The 18,498-nt window shown below is 42.0% G+C and overlaps 1 protein-coding gene and 1 pseudogene across 6 annotated transcripts in view, besides 1 other annotated feature; one reads left to right on the top strand and one right to left on the bottom strand.

Moving 5' to 3' along the window:
* The window catches only part of SIRPG (signal regulatory protein gamma), a 57,304-nt gene that overhangs the window by 19,383 nt on the left and 19,423 nt on the right, over positions 1-18,498 (bottom strand). For 5 of the 6 annotated variants that reach the window (NM_080816.3, XM_005260749.5, NM_001039508.2 and 2 more), the window contains exons 1-2: positions 9,108-9,245; positions 518-874 (exon numbers count right to left, since the gene is read on the bottom strand). In NM_080816.3, the coding sequence (NP_543006.2) occupies positions 518-874; positions 9,108-9,180 (430 nt within the window). In that variant the 5' untranslated portion in view covers positions 9,181-9,245. Of the gene's footprint in view, positions 1-517; positions 875-9,107; positions 9,246-18,498 lie in introns of those variants that run through there. The other variant, XM_011529286.3, reaches the window with a different exon arrangement.
* Positions 16,756-16,825: an enhancer, noted in NCBI's record as "active region_17458". NCBI's record gives its function as "activates an Ori minimal core promoter by ATAC-STARR-seq in GM12878 lymphoblastoid cells {active_cell/tissue: GM12878}" and the evidence as "EXISTENCE:reporter gene assay evidence [ECO:0000049][PMID:35858748]".
* Positions 17,826-18,106, top strand: RN7SL561P (RNA, 7SL, cytoplasmic 561, pseudogene; annotated as a pseudogene).

The following is an 18,498-nucleotide window of genomic DNA, read 5'->3' on the forward strand; positions in this document are numbered from 1 at the left end:
AGCTATTGGCTGTTTCATTCACTGCTGTTTGCACAGCATCCAGGGCGGAGTCTGGCACACAGTGGGTTCTCAGTGAGTGCCTGTTGCAAACTTAAAGTATAATAAAATAAAATAAATAAAAAAAAATAAAAAAAAGAATATACTTGGCCAGCCTGAGAGAGAAGCGCTCTTTGGAGGCAGAAGGTGAGTTCTGGCCCCGTACCTGGGCAAGTCACTCAATCTGTCAGTTTCCTCATTTGTGGAACCAAAGGGCTGGGCCAGATTGGGAAGGACAAGAGCTGTAGAGCCAGACAGATTGAAGATGTAGTCTCTCCCATCATTTACTAGCAATCATTTACCTTGAGCAATAGCATGATGTCCCTGGGCTTCAACTCACCTGATCTGTAGAAGGGGGTGACAACAGGTCTTGAAAATGAGCACTGAAAATCACACCTGATTGTTGCTCAAAGAATGGAAGGTGTTACTATTGAGTTATTGTCACACATCAGGGGATGAGGGAGGTCCATGTTGTACTCACCACCCAAAGCCATCTCAGTGCCTGGTCCAGACTTAAACTCCACGTTCTCAGGGCTCCCTTTTCGAAACTTCACACAGTAGTATGTGCCGACATCTGCTGGGGTGATGCTACTGATGCGGATGGAAAAGTCCATGTTGTTTCTCTTTGTGAGGTCTGAAACTGTTGTTACCCTGGGGAAGTGGCCTTCTTTTTGATTGTAGATTAATTCCCGGCCTGGTCCAACTCCTCTGAACCACAGGACGGGTCCCACGGGAAGCAGGGAGGTCACAGTGCAGTGCAGAGTGGCTGTCTTTCCAACTGTGACCAACAGGAGCTTCTCAGGCTGAATCATCTGTAGCTCCTCCTCACCTGCCACTTCTGAAAAGGAGCACAAAGCAATCATTTTTTCATCCTTACATAATCCTGTATTTCCTCATGTTTATCAAAGATATTCAGTGACTGGGTGCACATCAGGAATCAGGAGCAGGACTTGATCTCAGCACACTGCATGTATTATCTCATTTAACCCTCACAACATGCCTATAACATAAGACTGTATTACAATTGAGGGCACTGAGGCCTGAGGCACAGAGAGGTTCTTTTTTTTTTTTTTTTTTTTTTTTTGAGAGAGGGTCCTGTTCTGTTGCCCAGGCTGGAGTGCTGAGGCATAATCATGGCTCACGGCAACTTCAACCTCTCAGGTTCAAGTGATCCTCCTACCTCAGCCTCCAGAGTAGCTAGAACCACATGTGTATACCACCATGCCAGGTTAAGCTTTGTATTTTTGCAGAAACAGGTCACACCATTCTGCTCAGGTTGCCCTTACTTGAGTGCAAGTGATCCACTTGCCTCGGCTTTCCATAGTGCTGGGATGACAGGTGAGAACCATCAAGCCCAGCCAAGGGATTCAATTTCAAGGTAGAGTTTTGGGTTGAGGACCTGAATAGAACTCCTGAACTCTACTTTGAAGTGTGTATATATATATATATATATATATGTCATATAAGTGTCATATATATTTTTATATATTTTATATATATATATGTATTTAAAAACTGTCAGTAAAGCTATGCGTCTTTTGCAGGCTAGTTTTTGCCTTTCCAAATTCTAGAGGCTGCCCACATTCCTTTCTCACTGTTACATCTTCCTATCACTCTAATGTCTTGCTTGCATCCTTACATGTCCTTCTCAAAGAATTAATCTCCTTTCTCCTTCTTATAAGGACCCTTCTGATATGTTGGGTGCACTCTGACACTAGACCCAGTATTAAAACCACTGTCTTAAAAATGCTCAAGGAAGTAAAGGAAAAAATGGACAAAGTACTAAAACAGCAGGGATATAAACACATTCACAAAACAAGAACATCCAGAATGAGAAATTATAAAAAGAAATCCAACAGAAACTTAGAAGTTGAAAATACAACAATTGAAAGTTCAGTAGAGGGGTTCCCCAACAGGTGTGAACAGGTGGAAGAAAAATCATAAAGCTGCAAGATGGAATAATTAAAATTATTAAGACTGAGATACGGATGGAAAATGGAGTATAGTATAGAGAACAGAATCTAAGGGAATTCTGGGACACTATCAAGTGGATTGAAATACACATTATTAGAGTTCCGGGGAAAAAAAAGAGGAAGAGAAAAAAGAGCAGAAGATTATTGGAAGAAATCATGGTCAAAACCTTCACAAACTTAATAAAATACATGAATGCACAAATTTAAAGACACTGAAGAAATGCAAGTTTAACTCAAGGATAGAATCTGAGACCCACACTAAGGTACATTATAATTCAACTGTCAAAAACTAAATTCAAAGAATCCTGAAAGCAGTGGGAGAGAAACGATTCCTCACATACAAGAGACCCTCAGTAAGATTATCAGCTGAGCTCTTTATATAAAGTATTGGAGGTCAGAAGACAGAGGGATGATATGTTCAAAATGCTGAAAGAGGAAAAACCTGTCAACCATGAATTCTATACCTGGCGAAAGTGTCCTTCAAACACAAGGGAGAAATTAAGACATTCTCAGATAAACAAAAGCTAAGATAGTTCATGACCACAAAGGCTTGCTTACAGGAAATGCTAAAGGGAGTGCTTCAGGTGGAAATGAAATGATGCCATATGGCAACTCAAAGTTATATGAAGAAATAAAGATGTCCAGTTATATGTAAATTTTTTTTAAAAAATCATATTTACCTGATACCTCCACATCCCACAAACAAGTTGTGAGCACCCTGCCAAACCAGGTACACCACTGTGATAAAGCTGGTCCCTGCCATAATTCCTCTTCTTGTCCTCCTCTTCTGTGACTTAGTGACACTGAAACGTTCTAGTAAAACCCATCATGCTTTTTCTTGGTGTCCTCCACCCTGACTCCCATTAAAGGCAATGGCTTCTCATCTCTCATCTCTCTTGCTTCCCCATCTGCTTGGTTGAGCCTACTCCCTGGGAGCTCCTCCCATATGGCTTCCTGTGTGGCATGCCCTACCCAGCTATGCCTCTCCAGATGAAATTCTCATGACCAGGTTAGAGTGATCCTTTAAGACACAACCTGCAGGACTTACTCTACCATTTTCAACACTAATGGCAATGAGGAGGGGATTATTCTAAACCGGGGTAGCAAATTCCTAGGAGATGCACTTTGACTGTTCATGGCTTACGGATTTGCTACTGATTGGCTCCACAATTTGAGAAGGTTTTTTTTTTGCCCTGATGCCTTTCTTGTGTTGTGCTATGCACAGCTATGTGTTGCCTTTTGGAGTGCTGCCAAGACTCTCTATCCTAAAATGTGTATCCTATTCCAATATCAATAATGACAGCTGCCTTTCTTCAAGAGCACAGGATGTTATAGCAACCTCTTCAAAGAAGACTCATGTGATACTTATAATAATATCACATAATCCAGCATCTCTGAGTTGTTTTGAGGTGCCAGTGGCAATGTATTCTACATTTACAAATTTTACTTGCAAATTAAAATCAACAGGCACTCCTTTTAGTGCTTTCAAACAAACAAAAATACCTCTTCTCTCTAGAGACTTTGGCAATGATTTTCATTCCTCTTGGAATTTCTAGACCACTCCTGATGGTCATAAACTTCCCCAGGGCTTCTAACGCAAAACAAAAAATAAAACAAAACAAAAAAGCCCCTCTCTGCCTTGTTCTTTACTTCATTCTAACAAAAAATGACTGGTTATCTACTAGAATCTACTGGCTTGTGGTCCAGATCTAGGGGGAATATTTCCTGTTGCAAGCATTAACCACTGGTTGTCTCACAGGCCAGTCCCTGCTCATCTGAAATGGGTCCCACTGGAACTTAAACTTCTACTGAAACACAAAATTAAAATTTGTCAGGTGCAGCTGCACACCTTTCTGTTGACAGTGGCCTTATTACTACTGGATTTGTTGATGCAACAATCCTCAACCAAATACTAGCTAACTGAATTGAACAGCATGTAAGAAGGATTATAAACCATGAACAAGTGGTATTTATTCCTGGAATATGAGTATGTTTCAATATACAAATGACAGACAAACAATATGGTATTCTACAAATATTTATTTATAGAATAAATAGAAAAAACACATGATCATCTATTTTGATGCAGAAAAGCATCTGGTAAATTTGTACATCTATTTACGATGAAAACAATAAAAAGGATATATGAATACTTTCACAAGATGATAACATTCACCTACTCATACTTTATTTTTATTGCACTTATCATTGTCAAAAATTAATTTTTTCATTCACCTATTTATCATGTGTATTGATTACTGTCTTTCTCTGCAGTGGATGTAAGCAACAAAAGGGCAATTACTTTTTCTCTTTTATTCTACCAAAGTACCCCATGTTTTTATGTCAGATCCTGGCACATAGTAGGTATCCAATAGATATGTGTGTAATGTTTGAATTGCTCAGTGGGACATTTCCCTCGAAGACTGAAATCTTCTATTTTAGGTGGTTTGCTCCTGTGGAATTTGACAGAAAATGAGTTTCCCATGTAGAGGACTTAGTGAAAAAAAATCAGTTTGCAAACATACAGAAAGTAGAAGAGCCCAGAGAAGAAAACCACAATCTCCCTTCACACCACATTGCCCACTCCACACCCAAGAGCAGCAGCTGCAGAAATCTCATGGAATAGAATCAAGACCGGAAGTGTTTGAGTAATGGTGAAACCTGTGACCTCTAGAGTCAGAGTGCCTGAGTTCAAATCGTAGCTCTACCAGTTACCAATGAGTGAGCCTGGAGCACTTTGTGCTTCTGTTTTCTTATCTGTTAGGAAAGGTGACAAGAATATCTACCTTGTATATAATGATCACATGAAGTAAAAGAGGTAAGGCATTTTCAACAGTGTCTGCCACATGGTGAACGTTCAAAAATTGTAAAGTTATTGCTCAGTAGATTTCTGAGGCTTGGAGGCTTCAGTGGACATTAGATGACAAGGATAAGGATAAGGGTATGGATATGGATATAAATATAACTATAGTTATAGGTAATATAGGCAGACCTGTGTCACCTGTATCCCCACATTTTTTTCCTCATTTCTACCTTCATGGAAGAGGGAATTTCAGGATAAAAATGCACAGAAATTCTGCTTTGAGGGAAAATGCATTTTACCAAGAGAGAAGTTTGCTTATCTGTTGCTTCTATTAACAGATTGGAGGACTTTCAGTGGTAAGATTAGAGAAGTAGGAAGGAGGGAGAGTGGCTGGGCAATAGGGAAAACCACACATCTCTTCAATGTGCATTTCATATAGACTGAAAAAATGAGTTGAAGTTTACAGTAAAGAAAGTCTTTAAAATTCTGTGTGTGTTTCAGCATGGTCACATGAGATTTATCTCAGGAATGCAAGGATGGTATAACATTCATAAATCTCCAAATGTGATATGCTACATCAAGGCAATCTTGAGCAAAAAGAACAAAGATGGGGCCGGGCATGGTGGCTCATGCCTGTAATCCCAGCACTTTGGGAGGCCGAAGCGAGCAGATCACGAGGTTAGGCAATCGAGACCGTCTTGGCCAACATGGTAAAACCTTGTCTCTACTGAAAATACAAAAAATTAGCCAGGCATGGTGGTGCACACCTGTAGTCCCAGCTACTTGGGAGGCTGAGGCAGGGGAATCACTTGAACCCGGGAGGTGGAGATTGCAGTGAGCTGAGATCACACCACTGCACTCCAGACTGGCGACAGAGCAAGACTGCATCTAAAAAAAAAAAAAAAAAGAACAAAGATGGAAGCACCACACTGCCTAATTTCAACATTGACTACAGTGTCAAAGTAATCAAAATGGCATGGCACTGGCATAAAAAGAGATATATAGACCAATGGATCAGAGCAGAGAGCCCAGCAATAAACTCACACATTCACACTCAATTGACTATTGACAAAAGTGTGAAGAAAACACAATGGTGAAAGGTCTGTCTCTTCAAAAAGTGGTGCTGGGAAAGTTGGATATCCATGTGTAGGGGAATGAAATTAGGCCTTCTTCTCATGCCTCATACAAAAATCAACTCAAAATGGATTAAAGATTTAAATGTAAGATCTGAAACTGTACAAGAACTAGAAGAAAAGTTTCATGACATTGGTCTTGGCAATACATTTTTGGATTTGAGCCCCAAAGCACAGGCAACAAAAGCAAAAATAGACAAAAGGCATTAACAACAAACTAAAAAAGCTTCTACCCAGCCAAGGAAACAATCAACAGAGTGAAGAGACAACCTATAGAATGGAAGAAAACATTTGCAAACCATACATCTGATAAGGAGTCAGTATACAAAATATATAAGGAAGTCAAACAACTCAACCATAAGAAAACAACCCTATTAAAATATGGGCCAAAGATCCGAATAGACATTTCTCAGAAGAAGACATTAAGATGGCAAGTCAGCGTATAAAAAAAAATCCAACCTTACTATTCATGAGATAAATGCAAATTAAAACCGCAGTGGGCTATCATCTCACACCTTTAAGAATGGCTATTATCAAAAAGAGGAAATTTAGTATTGGAGAAGATGTGGAGAAAAGGGAACCCTTGCAGACAGTTGGTGGGAATATAAATTAGTAGAGCCATTAGTGAAAACAGTATGCAGGTTCCTCAAGAAATTAAAAATATAACTCTTATCTGATCTGGTAATCTCACTACTGGCATATATCCAAAGGAAATGACATCAGCATGTCACACATATATCTGCACTCCCATGTCCATTGCAGCATTATTTACAAAAGCCAAGATATGGAATCAACCTAGGTGTCTATCAGCAGATAAATGGAGAAAGAAAATGTAGCATATATGCACAATGAAATTCTAATCAGCCTTACAAAAAGGGAAACCCTGTCATTTGCAACAACATGGATGAACCTGGAGGACATTCTGCTAAGTGAAATAAGCCAGGCACGGAAAGACAAACACTGTATGATTTCACGTATGAAGAATCTAAAAAGTTGAGCTCATAGAAGTAGAAAGTAGAATGGTGTTTATCGGGGGCTAGAGAGGGGGTGTAGTTGGGGAGATATTAGTCAAAGGATACAAAATTTCAATTTAAATAAGAGAAATAAGTTCAAGATATCTATTGTACAATGTGGTGTTTATACTTAATAATATGAATTGTATTCTTGAAAACTGCTGAGAGAGCAGAGTTTACGAGTTCTCACAATAAAAAATGATAAATATGTAAGGTAATGCATATGTTTATTAGTTCAAATTAGTCATTCCACAATGTATGCATATTTCTTAATATGTTGTACATAAGTATACATACTTTTGTCAAATAAAAATAAAATAAAATATTTATTTTGTTAAAAATTTCACTGAAAATAGAAAGAGAACCAATGATTAAAAATGAAATCTCATCTGTGCATGTACATGTACATGCATAGGCACATGTGCATATATATGTGTATATAATGTGTATATATACACATTCACAAATATATATAAAAGTTTGGCTTATCATGTTAGTATATAAGGTTGTTTTGTGCATTAATTACAATTATGACAAATTTAAAAATCTCAGTAAAATATTTGGCACATAGAAACCATCCAACACATTTTTAACATTTTGGGAAAACATACATACACTAGTGTTTTACCTCTGATTGTTTCTGACTGGTGTGATGGGTGATTATTAATCTAATGTTTGCTTGCCTGCATTTTCTAATATTTCTACACATAGCATAACATGGTTAAAAGGGTGATAAACTCTGGAACTGGTCAACCTGGACTTGATCCCAACTGCTCCATGGACTGAAGTAGGGGACAATGAACAGGTTCCTGCCTCTGCCTCACTCCCCATTTGCAAATAGAGCACAAGAGTTATAGCTTCCACACAGGGATGCTGTGAGGATTAGTTGACTTAATACACACAAAATGCTAAGAAGTGCATCTGCCTTACAGGAAGAGAGCAATTGCTGAACTATTACTGCTGTCATTTGGGTACAGTGTATGTGTAAAAAAAATAATTTGAAAAGTGAGACCTTGCCCTCTAAGACCTGTGAGATGACATCACAGCAGGGCCCAGTGGGCAACTGAGAGGCTATTGTGCCCAGCCCTGTGACCGGGGGTCAGCTGCATGGTCTGAAAAAGGGGTGAAGACAGGCAGCCTGTCTGGGAGCTGTGAACAGGGCTCTCTCAGGTGGCACCAGGAAAGACCTCCCAATCCTGTCTGCCTGGGGGAAGGGAAAATAAATTCTCCAGAGGAAAGTCAAGATGACCAAGGGAGATGGTGGTGCCTGTTATGGGCTGAATGTGCCCCCAAAACGAATGGGTTGAAGCCCCAATCCCCAGCGCCTTAGAATTTGACCATATTTGGAGACAAGGTCTTTAACCCATTTATGCCCGAGGTTGCAATTTTTTTTTAATTTGAAAAATCAGACCTTGGCGATGCCCTTGAGCAGTAGGATATAAATAACTCCCGCAAGCTTAGTGATCCAATAACGGAGCACTAGGCATAAATGGGTGAAGCAATTTAGTTAAATGAGGTCACTGGCGGGGAGCCTTAATCCAATATGGCTGATGTTCTCATAAGAGAAAATGAGAATACAGACACACACAGAGGAAGACCATGTGTCAAGACACATGGAGGAGATGGCCTTCTACAAGCCAAGGAGAAAGACCTCAGTAGAAACTAACCCTGCTGGCATCTTGATTTTGCAATTCAGCCTCCAGAACTGAAAGAAAGAAAGTAAATGTCTATTGTTTTAGTTACTGAGTCTGTGGTGCTTTGTTGTGGAAGCCCTAAGAAAGGAATATAGGACGCTGTAAGCATGAAATGTGGAACTTCTTAAAGAGGAGGAGGGCACACAAAAATGGGTAGGAGGACTCAAGACAGGTAAGGATTTAATAATGATTCTTCTGTGTTTGTCAAATAAAATATTATAAAAATGTAACTAATTGTGATGGTGGCAGAAGCCTCACAAGGTTTGATGCCTCTGGTAGCCAGCTGCAGATCCACAGAGAAAGTGCTCAGCTCCCTGATCTTCTGCTCTTGGACAATGTCCAGTCCTTGACCTTCCTTGGCAGTGCTTGTGCTTATCTGAAATTGCTGCAAGTCCAGGGGCAAGGCTAGGTCCAGGAAGCAGGGAGAAAGGGTTCTAGCCCAATGCAATGCTCACCTGTAAGTCCCAGCAGTAGAGTCAGAAGCAGGAAAGGACCAGGAGGATGGGGCCAGGAGGCTGGGACAGGCATTTTGGAGACCTCAGAAGCCTGCTCTGTTCAAACGTCTGTTCTGGGGAGATGTCAGGCCCTGCTCTGAAGACAGAAGACAAGCCCTGCCTCCCTCAATTCAAGAGGAAGTGGCTATGATGGAATGCAACAGTAACCTGCTTCTAGATTGTGACTTACAAATCAGGCACAGTAGGCAGCTACAAAGCAAGGAGTTAATCGTGCTCCATTTTCAGGATAATCAGACAGGGTTAGCAGAAATAATGCTTCCTGCCTGCCTGGGACCTGTGCTCCCTCCTCGTGTCCCCAAACCCATTTTCAGGTCTTCTTGGTGATTTGCCATTTGAGGCTTTTAAGTCAAGAAAGATCTGTTGTTAGGTATTGTTTTCTAAAGTCTTTATTTCAAGACCCTAGGATGTGGTTGGCTTGTGGTCTTGTTCTGCACCAGCCTCAACCAAATGCCACTCCGCTGGACGTAGGAGAAGAGTTCACAGGACCTGCTCAACACTGGAGAGGAACCAGATCTTCTCCTGAAATGATTTTCTATTCCAAATTGCTATAATTGGCAACACTTAGCCCAAATTCAGTCTCTTGTGGACCTTAGCACTTTCATGTGCCTGCACCCAGCAGAAGGAATTATTTCTTGACTCCTTCCAGGAGAGAAACTGGGTTTGAGGTAATAAGCAACTGCTTTGTGGAGTGAGGTGGGGATTGTGGGTTATGGAAAGGGGATAGGGTTATCATGAGGGAAGATTATGGTGGGCAGGTTCCTGGGGCCGTCGCATCAATTTCAATACCCTTTCTTCTACACACAGAGCACCTATTTCATTCATCACTGAGTTCGGATGGGAAATGAGGAAAGAGGAAAAATCCATGCTCCTGCCAAGAGTGTGTGCCAAGGAGTTGGGGAAGTCGCTGGGCCCTCCTATGCTCAGTTTCAATCTCCTAAACTGGGAATAGTAAGTCTTTTTGTGCAGTGTTTTAGTGACGATTAAAGAGGTAATGAGCATATCATGCCTGAAACCCAGTAGGTCATTATTGATACTCACGGTGCCAGGTGAAGTGCGGGAACTCAAATGTTGCTTTTGAATGGATCCCTCCTGCATGCTGAGTTGCCCACCAGTGGCTTTCTCCCAGCAACCCAGGCCTCCTGAGACCCAGCTTATATAGTGTATTTGGACTCTCGCTGCCACCCTGAAATCAGTTTCTCCCTCTGGATTCTCTAAATCCCGCTCCTTGTTCAACCATAGATTAATTCCTCCTCTTACAATTTCCAGCTGTGTGATTTTCAAAAAGACACTACTTCTCTGAGCCTTGGTTTGATTGTATGTAAATAAATGTTAGAATATGCACCTTGTAGAGCTATGGTAGGAATAATATAAGCCATACTGAATGCTTGACTCATAATTAATTATAAGCAAAAAAACATGGCTATAATTATTTTCTGTGTACAGGAAGAGTCCACTGGTTCTCTGCCACCGTTGTGCCTTAGAAAAGCCACCTTGTTAAAAGAAATGATTTCTCTTCCAGCATCTATGACTAAGAAAGACCTGTCCAGAATCCTTCATCTCACATGTGGGTTTTAGGTTCTTAATCTGTCATGAATAATTGTCAAATCAAATTGTAAATGTTATCATGTTTTAATTGAAAGTCCTGTTTTAATGTGGCAGATGTACACAGGGTGAAATCTTCCCCTCCTTCTCCACACCCACAGTAGTGAAAACACAAAATGAAAAGAATATATGAATCAATGTCTAATTACACTTGAATACAAGCAATTGGCTTCTATATGACATGAAGGAATTATAACAGCTATCATTTATTGAGAGTTTCCTGTGCTCCAGATATGGTGCCAAGCATTTTTCTATTGGTAATGTCATTAAATCATTGCTCTGACCCCATGAGGTAAGCTCAACCATTAACCTCCTTTCACAGGTGAGAAAACCCGAGGCACATGGAGAGTAATGAATTTGCTCAAGATCACCCGGCTTTTAGAACTGGAACATAGGCTGCCACACTCCACAGCCTTCACTTTTAATGGTTGTACTATGATACCTCTTGCAGGAAGGGAGAGACATCCCTCAGGAAGAAAGCAGAGAAGAAGCTATAGCCTCAATTAGGAGCAGCCCTCATAGTGAGGCTGGGGCAGGTGCCATGCTCCACGAGGCCCTGACAACCCATGATCACATGGGGAATTATTCCTGGGAAGACGGAAGTGCAAGCAAGAATCACCAAAGATTTGAGGAACAGCACTGCAGCTAACAAATTCAAGAAAAACAATAACTCAAAAACAAATAGCAATCAAAAGAACTTCACACCTGAGCAAATATGAAAAAACAAAATGTGTAAAGTTCTTTAAAGTTAGTATACTTAATGATCTTATAAGGAAAACAAAAGAGAAGTAAATTCATAAACCAACATCAGGCATGTAATAATATGAAACAGAAATAGGCGGGCATGAGGTAACAACAACCATCTTGAAAAAATACCAAAACACAGACTTTGGAAATGAAAACATAATCAGTGCTGAAATTTTTTAAAAAAACTTAATAGGTTGACTAGCTGACTATACATAAATAAGTATAATAGTAAGTTAGTAAGCTGGGTGATTATGTAGGGGAAATTTCCTGTGGTACAGCACAGAGACACACCCAAACAAAGTAATGTGGATAGGTAAAAATATACCACAATATTGTGGTATATCTTTTCCTATTGCTCTATTTTTACCTATCCACATTACTACATTACTTTGAGAGGTGTGAGTCATAAAGTATTATGTCTCCAAAAATAAGAATTGGGCGTATATGACTCAAAAATGCATAGTATAGTGTCAGGAAGATGGCAGAATCTGTGCTTAGAGCAGCAAGTGCCTTCCTGTGAACTTCAATCCTTCAGTAAAGATCAACTAAGTACACAGATGCTTACAATTTTTGTGGAAATCACGTGGAGAATTGAAATTTAAATTTAGGTGACTTGGGGAAGCATAGATAAAATCTGAATGTTTGAGAGGACCAGGAACCTGGGAGTCCATGAGCCAAAATTCTCCTTTATCTGCCATATTTCACCCTGACTCATCACAGCAGGTGCAGATAACCAGGGACGACTTTGGGACACATGAGAAACTGGGAGCCAGTGGATGCTCCAGAAGACTAAAGATGTAAGACTGTGGGCTTAAGAATCAAAACTTCCTGGTCTGAAATCCAGCTCTAATGGGTCCCAGCTGTGTGATCCTGGGGTCACTATTAACTTCCCTGTTTCCTGAGTTTCCCCAAGTGTACAACGGAGAGAATAATCATACCATCTTCATAAGTTTGTGATGAGAATTAAATGAACTAATATATGCAAATTACTTAATACTATCTGACCATGTCCTCCAAAAGTTATATATTCAGTATTACCATTATCATTATAGATAGTAGTTAGATATTATCGTTATTAGGTAGTGTTTTGGTAATAGCAACAATTTTAAAAAACAGATCCTCTGCCCTCAAGAATTTATGATGCTGTGTGACAACCTTGGCCAGTGGCTGGTGGAGGTGGAGTACGACGATGATGAGCTGAGGTCATGTGCCCAGCCCTAGAATCATGGAGTCATTACCAGCACCAGGGGCATGCTATAGGCATGACGTCTGGGGGAATCAATATGACCCCAGTAAGGGTCTACTCAAATGCTCATGGAAAAGCTGTTCCAAATCTTGTCTCATGCTGGGATGGGAGAGAAGAAAATGCTCCCAAATGTAAATCAATAGGAGCAGGTAACATGGGCTGAGAGGGTGAGGAGACACCATGTAGAAATACACTCATGTAGAGCAGGCTGCACTCACTCACCTGTGAGTCCTGGTAGCAGAGGAAGTGGCAGGGGCTGTCCAGATGGGCTGGGAGACAGGGATGGACATTGCCTGCCCTGTCAGACTGTCTCATGGAGAGAATCCAGACTCTACTCTGCAGGAAAGGAGGGCATCTGCTTATCTGCTATGTTGTCTGAGGAGTGAGGTAGCTGTAGGGAGAAAGGGCCATGAGACTGGGACAATCCTCCATTGTGAAAGAGGAAGTGGACACAGTTGCCATCTCTGGGAAGTTGTGGATGTCTGTGCTTGGGGTTCCCAGGCCTGGGTAGATTTAGCCAGTACTGGAGAGAGGTCCACTGCCCCAGAACCTGCTCTCTGTTTCAGAGGCACTCATCTCATGCCAGGGGTCCCATGACCCTTCCTCATTGACAGCCCAGACCAAGAGGGCTCTGTAGCTAAGGACTGAGCTTGCAATTTCAGAGACCATAATTCCAGATGTGGCACATTTGAGGGCTTGTGGCTGTAGCAGCTTTCTGGGATGAAACCCAGTCCCCTGCACAACCCCTGCAAAAAGTCCCTTAAGTCAACACCAAGGAACCAGCTGAGCAAATCAAAAGTGACATTTCTTCTTAGATCTGTCAGAAAAACGAGGTCACAGGGCAAACCACTGTCCCCAGAATTGAGGAGTTGGGCAGGGTAATATAGAGAATCACAACTTCCTGAAGCCAAAACCTCTGTGGGAACCAGTGCCGGGGAAGGAAAGCCTGCACTGTAATTGAAGAATTTCTTGAGGCTCAGTGTGGGCCAGTCTTAGACACAAACTCGAGGAGGACCCAATAACGGAGGTCTCCCACACTTTTGTGAGTTTTATCTCTGGGAGCTTGGTTAGCTCGTCAGAGTGAATATAGGAGAAATATTCACTTGTGCTCCCAGGACACGGAAAGGAAAAGCAATCACTTAAAAATATACCAGAGTGTCCTATTGTTCTTTCGCTTGTTCCATATAGTAAATATGCAAGACAAAGGCAAGCACTGTTCCAACTACTGTTGATACATTTTTAGAAAGAAATAAAACAATTTAACTCTCAATGTTTCTAATGCTTTGAATTACAGTATACTAAATATTTGAACTTCCTGCTACATTTCTAACTGACAATATGACAGTTTCTAATACTTTGACAACAATTATGAGGATCACAGAACAACCATTATTTTTCCCATTGAATGTAGAGTTGTTTACCAGGGCTTCATGGTTTCCAGTTATTTTTACAATCCTGCACTGCCATGCAAAGTGAGGACATGCAAAATAAGTACACGTGGTAATATAATACAGTGCTGAGGAGAAAAACTGATCAGGATAAGAGGAATTGAAATTCTAGGGTAGGAGAGGAAAATGACTATTTTTCCTCACCATGGTTTACAAAATGTGTCTTTAATAAAGTGAAATTTCAGCAGAAACTTACTTGAAGGAAAGAAGAGAGTGAGCCATGCAGCTGTTTTGGGGAAGACTCAGAGGAATGACAGGATTTGACTTTTCAAAAAAAAAAAAATCATGGCCCGGCGCGGTAGCTCACGCCTGTAATCCCAGCACGTTGGGAGGCCAAAGCGGGCGGATCACGAGGTCAGGAGATCGAGACCATCCTGGCTACCACAGTGAAACCCCGTCTCTACTAAAAATACAAAAAATTAGCCGGGCGTGGTGGTGGGCGCCTGTAGTCCCAGCTACTCGGGAGGCTGAGGCAGGAGAATGGCGTGAACCTGGGAGGCAGAGCTTGCAGTCAGCCGAGATCGTGCCACTGCACTCCAGTCTGCAGCCTGGGCAACAGAGCGAGACTCCATCTCAAAAAATAAAAAAAAATCATCGTGACTGAAAACTGCAATCCAGTAGAGACAATAGCAACAGTTTGGAAGAGATGATACTGATTGGGACCAGGAAGGAGCGATGGAGGTGAGAAGCACGCAGGTTATAAATATAACTCAGTGGTGTACTGGAGCAGGCTTGGGCTGGTTCAAGACAGCCAACTGTCAAACTTTAAGGAATTTTGCAATCTGGTTGTTAAACTGTTGGAAGCTTGAAACTGGCTACATTGGGAGTATTTACACTATCAAAATTGACAAGCGCTATAAATCGGCCTTCTTTTTCCTTTTGAAGAGTCAACTGTTATACGTTTATCATCTCATCAGTGGACATAAGCACTTTGAAGGCATAATTGAATGTTGCGTGTAAATGAAAAAGAAATCAAAGAGGACTCCAAAGCTTTTGAACTGTCGCGGCATTCCTGCCATGAGCAACAGGGTTAGGAAAGTTGCAGATTGTCAGAAACAACTAGTGTTTCCATCCCAGAGAGAGGAGGGAGAACTGCTTTCTTTTTAGGTGTGAGGAGTAGGACACTGTCTTAGTCCACGTGTGTTGCTATAAAGAAATACCTGAGGCTGGGTAATTTATAAATAAGAGGTTTATTTGGCTTGTGGTTCTGCAGACTGTACAAGAGCATGGTGTCAGCATCTGCTTCTGATGAGGCCCTCGGACTGCTTCTACTCATGGTGAGAGACAAAGAGGAGCTGGCATCACATGGTGAGAGAGGAAGGAAGAGAGAGAGAGAAGAGGGAGGTGCTAGGCTCTTTGTAACAATCAAACCTTGTGAATACTAATTGAGCAAGAACTCAGTTATTACTGCAGACGGCACCAAGTCATTCATGATGTATCTGCCCCCATGACTCAAACACCTCCCATCAGGCCCTACCTCTAACATAGGGGATCAAATTTCAACATGGGATTTAGAGAGAACAAATATTCAAACTATCTTGGATGCTTAAACAAAGAGGAAAGAGAACTGTTTTTTTCCCTTAAAACTGGGATGGGGGTTCATTTGTATTCAAGAGGCAATAGAGAACCTCAACAAGGCTGGGGAGATGGAGTAGGCGGGAATCCAGAAGACAGAATAAGTACGGAAAAGCTGGAGAGAGTCTGTGGTTTATGGCCTGTCTCAAAGTGATGGATGCAAGGAATCCTAGTGTATTCAGATTTGATGTGTTTCTCACATTCTAGGGGGATGCTGTGAGTCAGTGCCCAGAGCCCCATTCCTTGGCCCCTGCTCAGGACCATGTGTGAAGACTCCACTCTGGGGCATCAAGGTGGCAGAGACTGAGGGTTCCACATGGCAGGGGAGGAAGGAAGGAGCTGTGGGAAAACACGTCCAGGTTTAATCATCTGCTCATCCTTCAGGAAATGTTTCCGGAGAGCCTGTTATGTTCCCGGTGCTGATCTCCTCCTGAGATGTCTGTGGTGGTTGGACAGGCAGCTCTGAGATAGGACTGTGCCAGCTCAGCCCTCCTCCTGAGTCCTGGCGCCCTTTCCCGCATCCCTTCCACGCAGGCACTCAGAGGATCAGAGTGGGAACAGCTTTCAGAGTTGCCTATCTGGGGCTTCTCAGCATTACTCTACAGTGGGATTCCTTAGAATGGAGTCCAGCATCAAATAATCTAGAGGTGGCCTGTGAGGGACCACCTACAGAGTTGCCCCTCACTTAGCACCCTCTTCTCACCTCCCCAGCAGGCCCCTAAGGCACCGTGGACACCTTTGAACAGCCTTGCTGTAACCCACTTCCTGCAGCACCCACACACTTCCTGGGGCTGGGAGCCTCTTAGAGGGTTTCCTGAGACTCCCAAGGGTGCAGAGGGAGCTCGGTTACCTTCTCTAAACTCCACTGAGCCTGATGTTGCATGGCGTGTGAGCTGGGCCCTCCGGCTGGCCTTGCCCTTCTGCGGCAACCCTTGGCCAGCCCTTCTATCCCCACACTTACAGTCAGGCCTCTGCTTCAGTGGATGTTAGATGGCAGAGACATCAACCCCCAGCAGGGCCCTGGGGCCCAGGAGGAGAGCTACAAGGAGTGGGGCAGTAGGAGCTGGCATGAGCCCTAGAAATCATGAGACTCCAGGAGGAGCCATGAGAGGGGCCACCTGGGATGGGCCTCCGCTTACCCCATCCAAAGCTACCTGGGCCCAACAAGGCTCCAAAACTTTTGAATCTGAGTCCTTCCCTGGATGCCCTGGATCCAACCCAAGGCAGAAACCAGGGAAAGAGGCTCCTTCTTTCCAGTCACCCCATCTCCCGGTGCCAGGCTCTCCTACTGGAAGGAGGGGGTTGAGAGAGCTTGTACTCAGGTATTCATACATTGCAAGGAAGCCATGGACTTGTTTCTGAAAGGAGTGACGCCTCCTCAAGAAGAGCCTCACAACTTAGTCTAATTTTCCATTTCCCTTATTGAAGGTTAGGTTATGTATATTTTCACAAGTTTAAAAGCCCTTTGTTTTTCTTTTTATGTGTACTATTTATGTCATTTTGCCCATTTATAGTTGGGCTGCTGGGTCTTGTTGATTTTTAGGAACGTTTAAATATAAATTAAAATCTGGTCTTTTTTGGATATATATAAAAAAAAGAGCCTCAGGCACGTCCTTCAGGAGGGATTCCAGAAGAAGGCATTGTTCTCCTAGGAGATGACAGCTCTAGGCGGGTTATGGCCCCTGAAGGCCTTCCAGTGGGACAAGATGCGAAGGTGGAAGACAGCACTATTGCTGATCCTGACCCTGTAGGCCCAGGCTAATGTGCGTGGGAGGTCTTAGTTTTTAACAAAGACAGTTTAAAAAAGAAAAAAAAAAAAGACAAAGTTCTAAACTAGCAAAAACCTCATAGAATAAGGATGTAAAGAGAAAAAAATTTTTGTACAGCTATAAAATGTGTTTGTTTCAAGCTGAGTGTTGTTACTAATAAGTAAAGTTAAAAAATTAAAAACCTCATAACATGAAAATGTTACAGCAAGCTAAGGTTAATATATTATTGAACAAGGCAAAATATTTTAAAAATCAATTTAGCATAGCCTAGACCAGGCATTGTGTCATGTGTATGTAGTCCCAGCTACTCAGGAGGCTGAGGCAGGAGGATTGCTTGAGCCCAGAAGTTCTGGATTGAGTGTGTGCACTAAGTTCAGAATCAATGGGCTAACCTCCTGCAAGAGGAGGGACCACCAGGTTGCCTAAGGTAGAGTGAACCAGCCCAGGTCAAAAACGGAGCAGGTGAAAACTGTCATACTGATCAGCAGTAGGATCATACCTGTGAGTAGTCACTGCACTCCAGCCTGGGCAACACAGTGAGACCCCAGCTCTTTAAGAAAGTTAAAAATAAAAAATGTATATACATTTAGCATGGCCAAGGTGTATGGTGTTTATAAAGTCTACATAGGGTAGTTTCCTAGGACTTCACGTGCATGCATCACTAACTCACTGACTTACCCAGAGCAAACAGTTCTGCTAGCTCCATTCATGAGAAGTGCCCAATACATGTGTACCATTTTAAAAAATATTTTTAAAAAAATTATTAAAAAATATTTTATATCATACATTTACTGCACCTTTTAATGTTTAGAAATGTTTATTTACTTACTTTTTTTTTTTGGACAAAGAGACTTGCTCTGTTGCCCAGACTGGAGTGCAGTGGCGTGATCGCGGTTCACCACACCCTTTAACTCCCGAGCTCAAGTGATACTCCCACTACTGAG

This window comes from Homo sapiens, chromosome 20 (assembly GCF_000001405.40).
Source record: "Homo sapiens chromosome 20, GRCh38.p14 Primary Assembly".
Classification (NCBI taxonomy): domain Eukaryota; kingdom Metazoa; phylum Chordata; class Mammalia; order Primates; family Hominidae; genus Homo; species Homo sapiens.